We start from the raw sequence: 10,486 nt of genomic DNA, 5'->3' as shown, positions 1-10,486 counted from the left end.
TTCATGCAATCCCAGCATTTTAGGAGACTGAGATGCAAGGATCATTTGAAGCCAGGAGTTCAAAACCAGCCTGGGCAATGTAGGGAGACCCTTTCTCTACAAAAATCTTTTTAAAAATTAGCTGGGTGTGGTGGTGCATTTCTGTGATCCTAGCTACTTGAGAGGCTGAGGTAGGAGGATTGCTTGGGCCTGGGAGGTCAAGGCTGCAAAGAGCTATGATTGAACCACTGCACTTCAGCCTTCAGCCTAAGTGACAGAGCGAGACCTTGTCTCAAAAGGAAAAATATATATATACATATATGTAAATGTATGTGTATATATATATGGGTATATACGTATATACAAAAAATTTAAATAAAATTTAATTTTAATTTTATTATTTTAATAAAATAAGTTCATTTTTATTACGTATATTTTCTTTTATTTGCCCCACATTTACTCTCAATATAACAAGGGTACAAGACATTAAATGAGGAAAGATGACTCTTTTTCAACAAATGATATTGAGATAACTGGATAGGCATATGCAAAAAATGAAGTTGCACCCCCTCTTCACTTCATTTATAAAATTAACTAAAAATGGATCACAGACCTAAATGTAAGACCTACAACTACACACTTCTTTTTTTTTTTTTTTTTTTTTTTGAGACGGAATCTCGCTCTGTTGCCCAGGCTGGAGTGCAATGGTGTGATCTTGGCTCACTGCAACCTCCGCCTCCCAAGTTCAAGTGATTTTCCTGCCGCAGCCTCCAGAGTAGCTGGGACTACAGGTGCACCACGCCTGGCTAAGTTTTGTATATTAGTGGAGATGCAGTTTCACCATATTGGCCAGGCTGGTCTTGAACTCCTGACCTCATGATCTGCCCACCTCGGCCTCCCAAAGTGCTGGGATTACAGGTGTGAGCCACTGCACCCGGCTCCTACAACTATATACTTCTTAGAAGAAACATGGGCCTAAATCTTCATGGCCTTGGTTAGGTAAAGCCTTCTTAGGTATGACACCAAAAGCATAAGCAACAAAATAAAAATATATGTAAATTGAACTTCATCAAAATTGAAAAATTTTGTGGTTCAAAGAACATCATGAAGAAAATGAAAAGACAACTCACAGTATGGAAAAAAATATTTGCAAACATATATCAGATAAAATACTTGTATTTACTTACTATTATTATTGAGTTGTAATTCTTACAACTCAATAAAAAATAATTATTACAACTCAATAATAAAAAGGCAAATAACACAATTTAAAAATGGACAAAGGTGGGCATGGTGGCACATGCCTGTAGTCCCAGCTATTTGTTGGGCTGAGGCAGGAGGATCGTTTGAGCACAGGAGTTTGAGGCTGCAGTAAGCCATGATTGTGCCACTGCACTCCAGCCTGGGTGACAAAGTGAGACCCTGTCTCAACAAAAAGCAAGGGAGGCAAAGGATATGAATCTCCAAATAAAATATGCCAATGGCCAATAAACACATGAAAAGATGCTAAACATCATTAGTCATTAGAGAAATGGAAACCAAAACCTCAGTGAGATACCACTTACACACACTTGAGAGGCTATAATGAAAAAGGCAGATAGCGTTTTGGCAAGGATATAGAGAAAGTAGAACCCTCATACATTGCTGGTGGGAATATAAAATGTCACAGCCCCTTTGGAAAACAGTTTGGCAGTTTTTCAAAAAGCTAAATTGAAAGTTACCCTTTGACCCTCTAATTCCACTCCTAGATATATATCCAAGAGAAATGAAATACATATGTCCACACAAAAACTTGCACATGAATGTTCATAGCAGCATTATTCACAGTAGCCCAAAAGTAGAAACAATACAAATGTCCATTAATTGATGAATGGATAAATAAAATGTGGTATATCCATACAGTGGAATATTATTTAGCCATAAAAATAATGAAGTATTGATACATACTACAACATGGATGAACTTTGAAAATATGCTATGTGATGTTCTCACTCATAGGTGGGAATTGAACAATGAGAACACTTGGACACAGAGGGGGAACATCACACACCAGGGCCTGTCGTGGGGTTGAGGGAGGGGGAAGGGATAGCATTAGGAGATATACCTAATGTAAATGATGAGTTAACGGGTGCAGCAAACCAACATGGCACATGTATACATATGTAACAAACCTGCACGTTGTGCACATGTACCCTAGAACTTAAAGTATAATAAAAAAAAGAAAATATGCTGTGTGAAAGAAGCCAGTCACAAAAGACCATATAGTGTATGATTCCATTGCTCCGAAATATCTAGAATAGGCAAATCTATAGAGACAGAAAGCAGATTAGTGGTTGCCTAGGGCTGGTTGGGTTGGAGGGAAATTGGAGAGTGACTGCTAATGGGTATGAGGTTTCTTTTGAGGTTCATAAAAATGTACTAAGGTTGATTGTGCTAATAGTTGTACAACTGTCAATATACTAAAAACCATTGAATTGTATACTTTAAATGGAGGAATTATATCTATATTATACCTCAAAAATGTTTTTAGAAAAGCAGTGGAGAATTAAAAAGTTGAAAAATACATAGTCAAATCTAAACAAGCATTGACTGTATGAAACAATAGTAACAAAAGCACTAATGGAGGTTCCATAAAAAGATGGAATTAAAATACTAGAAACAATGTGTGAGAGAAAAAGAAGAATAAGAGAGAAAACCACCTAAGGTCCTTATTTTGTTTGAAAGGAAACCAAGGGATATTGATTAACCTACAAGATTGTTGAGCAGTATGTTTGTTCAATTTTAAAGTAAATATGAAAAAAACAGAAATATAATCATTTGAAAGATAATATTGATCAGTTCTATAAAAGGCAAAAAAAGGAGAAAAAGAAAAAAATGTACAGAAAGCACAAAGCAAGGTTAAAGAATAAATCCACCACAGTATATAATCACAATAATGTAAATGAACTAACTTCATAGGTTAAAGGGCTGAGACTTAATTTAAATAAATCCAGCTATATGTCATGGTTTTTAAAAATTGCATCTTGTTTGTTCCTGATAATTAGGATGATGTTGCATTCCAGTATTTCCCGTGTCTTATTCCTGAATTCAAATGGGATGTTTTTAGGATTTCACCACTGAGAATAATATTTGCTTTAGGGTTTGGTAGATGCCATTTTCAGGTTAAAGAATGTTCCTTTTTTGTTGTTGTTTTTTGAGACTGGATCTTGCTCTGTCACCCAGGCTGCAGGGCAGTGGTGTGACCATGGCTCACTGCAGCCTCAACCTCCTGGGCTCAAGCAATCCTCCCATCTCAGTCTCCCGAGTAGCTAGGACTACGGGCACACATCACTATGCCCAGCTAAGTTTTTAAAGTTTTTTTAGAAATGGGATCTCATTATGTTGCCCAGGCTTGTCTCGAACTCCTGGGCTCAAGCAATCTTTCGGCTTTGGTCTCCCAAAGTGCTGGAATTACAGGTGTGAGCTGCTGTGCTCAGCAAGGAATGTTCCTTCTATACCTAGTTATCTGAGAGAAGTTCTATTTAGAGTGTTGAGGGAAAATAGCTAACTTAGAATTCTATACACAGCTAAACTATCATTCAAGAATGAGGATGAAATAAAAAGACATGCCATTTACATTTATAGTTTTTAAAAAACTATGTTATTCATAAATCTAATAAATGACATGAAACTTTTACAAAGAAAGCTCTAAAACCTCACTGAAAGATAGAAAACCTGAAGAAATGATGAGATACACCCTGTTTATGTATGGAAAGACAACAGCTTAACAGTAGCAGCTTTCCTAAATTTATACTATTAATAAATTCTATTCAAAATCCGTGGAGAATTGTTTTCACTGACCTCGATAAGCATATCAGAATATCCATCCAGAAAAATAAAGGGGTTAAGAACAGCCAAAACAATTTTTTTTTAAGCGACGGGATCTCACTGTGTTGCCCAGGCTGGAGTGCAGTGGCACAATCATAGCTCACTGCAGCCTCTAACTCCTGGGCCCAAGTGATCCTCCTGCCTCAGCCTCCCAAAGTGTTGGGCTTCCAGGTATGAACCATGGTGCCTGGCCACAATTTTGAGACAGCATAAAGAGAAAGGATTCACCCTAACAGATAGCAAAACTTGTTTTTAGTTAATTTTATAAATGAAGTGAAGAGGGGGTGCAACTTCATTCTTTTGCATATGCCTATCCAGTTATCTCAATATCATTTGTTGAAAAAGAGTCATCTTTTGTCGTTTAATATCTTGTACCCTTGTTATATTGAGAGTAAATGTGGGGCAAATAAAATATACTTAACAAAAATGAACTTATTTTATGAATAAAATTAAAATTAAATTTTATTTAATTTTTTGTATATACATATATACATATATATACACATACACATACATTTACATATATGTATATATATATTTTTTTCCTTTTGAGACAAGGTCTCGCTCTGTCACTCAGGCTGAAGGCTGAAGTGCAGTGGTTAAATAATTAAATAAGTAATTAAAATATTTGGATGCAGGGTGGTGATGGCGGCCACCGGGGCTGTGGAAGTGGGGTCCCCGGGGTCAGCCGTTGCCCCCTCGCCCGCCCTGGACTTGCTGCCTGCCCTGGGTCATCTGTTCTGGCCCATCAGCGCCGAGGACAAGGAGCAGCAGCCCACCCAGATCAAGTCACTGTGCATGAACTGTTACCGCAATGGCATGACGCGCCTCCTGCTCACCAAGATTCCCTTCTTCAGAGAAATAATCGTGAGCTCCTTTTCCTGCCACCACTGTGGCTGGAACAACACGGAGATCCAATCGGCAGGCAGGATCCAGGACCAGGGAGTGCGCTACACTTTGAGCATCAGGGCTCTGGAGGACATGAACAGAGAAGTGGTGAAGACTGACTCTGCTACCACAAGGATTCCTGAGCTAGATTTTCAAATTCCTGCCTTTAGCCAGAAAGGAGGTCTGAACACTGTTGAAGGATTGATCACCCGTGCTATCTCTGGCCGGGAGCAGGACTAGCCTGCGCGAAGGGCAACAAAGATGCCACAGCTGAAAGAATTGATGAGTTCATTGTCAAACTGAAGGAGCTAAAGCAATCAGCCTCCCCTTTCACTCTGATCATTGATGATCCCTCAGGGAACAGCTTTGTGGAAAACCCACAGGCTGCTCAGAAAGATGATGCCCTGGTGATCACACACTACAACCAGACCCGACAGCAGGAAGAGATGCTGGGGCTCCAAGCAGAAGCACCAACAGAGAAGCCAGAAGAGGAAGATCTCAGAAATGAAGTGCTCCAGTTTAACACAAACGGCCCAGAATGCAATGCCCCCACTCAGACCAACATGAAGCTAGTACAAATCCCTCACTTTAAGGAGGGACCAAGTACAAGAACTGCGTGCATCAGACCAATGAGGTGAAATCTGGAGAAGCAGTAGAACCCTTGGGCACCAGGATCACCCTCCACATCACAGGTCCCTCAGATATGACCAGAGACCTCCTCAAGTCTGAGACTTGTAGTGTGGAAATCCCAGAGCCAGAATTTGACTGGGAATGGCCATCCTCAGGTGCAAGTTCACCACACTAGAAGGGCTGCTGAAAGATATCTGGGAACTGGTGACCAAAAACCCTTTCACACTGGGCGACAGTTCCAATCCTGGCCAGACGGAGAGACTGCAGGAGTTTAGCCAGAAGATGGACCAGATCATCGAAGGTAACATGAAGACCGACTTTATTATGGATGATTCAGCAGGAAACAGTTACTTGCAGAATGTGTATGCAACTGAAGATGATCCTGAGATGAAGGCGGAGCATTATAAGCACACCTTTGACTAAAATGAGGAGCTAGAGCTCAATGACATGAAGACAGAGGGCTATGAGGCAGGCCTGGCTCCACAACGGTAGCAGTGGGTGGGTCAAGGGCCAGCTCTCCAGCGCTGCTCATTCTGCAGGTTATTTATTAGTATTGGAAGAAGGCTGGGAGTGTCTTGCCCACCAGCCCTTGCCCATGGTGGGGAGGACATCTTGTCTGAGTCAGAGATCTAGGCACATTTTCTAAACAGCTTGTAATGCAAGTGTGAGCCTATTGTGTTACTTGACCTTATTTTGAGGCTTTGAATTGGCCTAGGAAGAAACCCAGAAATGAACCAGGGGTATGTCATTATCACTTTTTTCATATCAAGTCTTTACCCTCCCTCCACATAATGCTCTGTCCTCTAAGGTTGGAACTCTGAAGTTGGAGAAAGTGGAATAAAATTACACCTGGAAAATGAAATAAAATATTCTGGTATCAGCATTTAGCTAAATAGATCAATGGGGCAAATTTTCTGAAAAAGTTAGAAACACACATAAGTAGGAACTTAGGATATAAGAGGTGACACTGCAAATCAGCAGGGAAAGGATGACTATTCAATAAATGGCACTGTGACTATTGGCTAATAATATTTTCTAAGAGAAAAATTAGATTCGTACCTCACTGTGTGAACAAAAATAAATTTCAGATGTGTTAAGGAAAAGCAGTAAACATTTAGACAGAACTACAGGAAAATATTTCAATGACATCCAAGGAGGGTAGGGTTTCTTAAACAATACAAAACCAAAAATTATCATGGAAAAGTGAGAAGTTGAAGTAGATAATTTTTTTAAACTTCTTAATGACAAATGGCACTAACAGCAAAGCAAGAAGACAAACACAGACTTGGAGAAAATAGTTATATCCCACATTTCCAACCAAAGATTACTATCCAAAATGTACAACTAGTTCCTACAAATAAGCAAGAAAAAGAGCAACAACCGAACATCAAAAAAGCTTAAGGATGTTAACAAGCAATCGGCAAAAGAGGACATTTAATGGTCTATAGACGCATGAAAATGTGCTCGCCTTTATTAGTAGTCAAGGAGATGCAAATTAAAACAAATAGATACTATTTCATGCCTATTAGAGTGGGAATTTCTTGAAAAAACTCTGACAATACCAAAAGTTGATGAGAATGGAGAAATGGATACTTACATCCACTGCTAGTGGGCATGTAAAAATGACAGACCCACTGTAGAGAGCGATTTGGCAACACCTGGTAAAGTTAATGCATAACCTATGACCAAAAATTCTGCCACTATATGTCTAGAAGTTCCCAAGAGACACGTGGGTCCAAGGAGATATGAACAAAAGCACATTCTTTCAGCACTCTGGGTAATAGCTTAAAAGTGGAAACAAGCTACCTGACCTTCAGGAGCAAAATGGGCAAATCAAATGTGGATTATTCATGCAATGCAATGCTGCACAGCCATTAAAATGAGTGAACTAGATCCTTATCACCTACATGGATACATCTAAAATGTGTAATGATAAACTAGAAAGATGCAACATAAATATTTATACAATATAATTTACATAAAATGTAAAGTACATGAAACGATAGTATATATAATTTACTAATATACGTTAAAGATACTCAGATCTTCCTGGTTATGGTTCACATATATGAAGGGGGGAGAGAGAGGCCTCCTAAACCAGGTGTCCGAATATTACAACATCTAGAAAGACTCTTGAACTTACACTTCATAAAAGATAAAAGGAGTGTTTTTTTAAAGAGCAACTGAGCTACTAATGAGAATTTGGCACTATTTATGTTTTTATGTATAAAGAACCCTAAAGGACATTCGATGGATTCTGGTATCGGTTGCCAGTTCTTCTTCACTTAGGAACTGATGCTACTAACCCTTAGTTGGTGGGGCTAAGAGAACAGTTCTGGCCTAGCTCCTGTCTCCTACAGGTCCTTCAGGAGCAAAATGGGCAAACAAAATGTGGATTATACATAGAGTGCAACACTGGGTTATTCTCCCTCACCCAGCCTACTAGTCTGCCCAGAAAATCCCCATCCTGCTTCTGTTGGATTCTTTCCTGTGTTTCCTTTGCCACTTGCTGAAAGTACAGTACCATTCTAGCATCCCAAGTTTTACTTGCTGATTTCTGTTGAAGACTCTACAGCCCAACTCTGCCTTTCTGATGGGTCTGGAAGGCAGTGTGCCTATTCAGTACATGTGCCTATTCAGGGGAGATGCCTCCCTGGACAGGGTTAGCTTTTCTCTAGGTGCTACAATGCTGGGCAGAGGACCTTAAATCTCCTTTGGTTTGGAGTGACAGAACCATAATCCTTCCTGAGCTCCTTTTTTAAACACTCATACATACACACATGCTTTCATATACATGCACATGTACACACACTCAGACAAAAAAATGCACACACAAATACCTACACCACTCCCTTCTCTGCAACAGGAGTCGGGACTGCTTGGTTACTCTAAATCCAGTATCGTATAGGTGTTGTGTGGCAGATCTGATTTTATAATGGAAGACAATGGGAATAATAGGATTTGCTATTCACGAACACATAGATCTCAAATATCAAAGGACAACTGTATGATACCATTGGAACCATTATAACACAGTAGCCGTCTCCCACTTGCCAAGCTCAAAGCATATAACTTTTCTTTTTCACGTTGGGAGCAGAGGTGATTGAATTATACTCCTCAGTTCTTATCCCATTACCGTGACTGTATGTGAGGTCCCTCTCTAGTTTTACAACTGTGCTTCCTTTTATATTCCCCTTTGTGTCTGATTCCACTTTCATTTCCCTTGCCCCCACCCACAGGCATCTGCTGGAATGGGTTTGATATTTGCCCAATTGTTATTTATCCTGTTGCTTTTCTACTGGGACGGCACGGCAAGAGGATGTTTATCTCTGATTCATTATGCTGATTCATTTTTGTTAAGCAGCCACACAATTTCAGGTATAGTGCTGGAGTGGATCCCACTGTGGAACCTAGCAGCCAAACTGAACTGAACATCTGTTTAATTTAAATGGTGGGTCCTGGGGTGTCAGTTCCATTATTTTGTTTGTATTACAAAACTTGGCTTACAAGATCACACTCTTGTTTAAAAAAAAAAAAAAGTGTCCTTTAAATTGGGAAAATGCTCATCTGTCCTGAATGAGTTAAGAGTGCTTCTGCCTGCAAGCAGAGTGTGCGGTGACTCACTGTCCCATGAAGACGCCTTCCCTTCTACCTTAAGACTGCGTCTGTCCCGCAGAACGCCACGTGCGGGCGTCCCTGGAACCTGGCCCATAGGTGGCAGTCTCCCTTCATCGTTCCCGGACTACGAACCTCCGAAGGGCAGCCTGAGAAAGCAGTTGCTTTTGCTTTTTCTTCGGGTTTCCTAATATTTAATGTTCCCTCCACTCACCTTCCCCCTCCATCCCACAGAGAGTGTAGAGATTGCATCCCTGGAGGCTAGCAAACGACAAAAGAAACTTCGTCTGGAACCAGTCAAAGTCGGGAGACCTGCGTTGTGCCGACTCTCGATGCGATTGTTTTGGAATTTTGCTGAAGCTCTCTTGCAGAATTGCTCTGTAAATGGCAAGAAGAAATGCCTTTCACTATAAACAGAAAATAAAGCTTTCACAAGTTGTCATATTTTTAAAAAGCAATCATGCGGATGCAAGTTTTTATCCCCTCTGTTTAGTCTTGCCTCCCCTCCTTGCCAACACACCCCCACAGAATTTGGGATGAATCTTTGCGAGTGAAGTAAAAGTAGGCATTCTCTCCAACATGTGCCCCTCCCCCAGCCCTTCACAGAGCCTATTCAACAAGATATCGAACAGTCATAGGCAGAGACGAGTGTGCGTGTGCATATGAGTGTGCATGTGTGTGCGCGTGTGTGTGTGCGAGTGTGTGTGTATGCAGAGAATACTAGATGGAGAGTCAAAGGGAAACCAAGAGATCCAGAAAAGGGGCACCACCTTCTCACCTTCCTTCCACCCCACTCCTCCTCACCCAAGGAGGGAAGCCAGGTAGAGCGCTCACCCAGCCCCAGGCCCTTTTGGGCGAGCCTGCCCAGTGGGTTTCTAATCAGCCAACACTTTGGGCCGGCCTCCACTGTTTATGGAGCCAAAGGGACTTTAAATCATTAGCCGGTGTCAAAATGCTTGAGGAATGTGCTTGCCTAGGAAGCCACATGGAGTGGTTCATCAGCATTTGTAAAAACCGCCTTGGCAAAAAGATGTTGAACCCAGCACTGGGGGCGGATTGTGTGTATTTCAGTTGAATTAGCAAACAGAATACCTTTTAAATCTTAGCAACACCTGGTTCTGAAAAGGACACCCACTAAAGAAAGGGCTGCCTTGTCTGTGCTGGAAGAGGCTTTCCCTGGCTCAAGGTGCTTCTCCTCTCCAGATCAGAGACCTCATTAGATGCTTGGTCCCTCTTCCTTCCTAAGATGTGCAGAGGCCCGGGAGATTTTCACCTGGACTTTGGGACACAGCCAACACAGGATGTCCTGAGTTACAGCAAGCATTTCTGAATGGAGGTAGCCATTGGTCAGCCTGCTCTAAAGAAGGCCAAGTTCATGTTCCCCCCAAAGGACTAGACCCCGGGGTAGGTGGGGGTTTAGGGGCAGGGGTGAAGAGGGTGTGGGAGGTGGTGAAGGGGAGGGGGTAGAGGAGGGGGTGGGTGGAGAGGGCAGGCATGGAGTGGGTGG

At 41.3% G+C, this 10,486-nt stretch overlaps 1 pseudogene, besides 1 other annotated feature; it reads left to right on the top strand.

Annotated features, from left to right (window-relative positions):
* Positions 4,486-6,218, top strand: ZPR1P1 (ZPR1 pseudogene 1; annotated as a pseudogene).
* Positions 9,130-9,179: an enhancer, noted in NCBI's record as "active region_24916". NCBI's record gives its function as "activates an Ori minimal core promoter by ATAC-STARR-seq in GM12878 lymphoblastoid cells {active_cell/tissue: GM12878}" and the evidence as "EXISTENCE:reporter gene assay evidence [ECO:0000049][PMID:35858748]".

This window comes from Homo sapiens, chromosome 6 (genome assembly GCF_000001405.40).
Source record: "Homo sapiens chromosome 6, GRCh38.p14 Primary Assembly".
Lineage (NCBI taxonomy): Eukaryota > Metazoa > Chordata > Mammalia > Primates > Hominidae > Homo > Homo sapiens.
The sequence above is the reverse complement of the archived record's forward strand: the minus strand, read 5'-3'. Positions and strand labels throughout refer to the sequence as shown.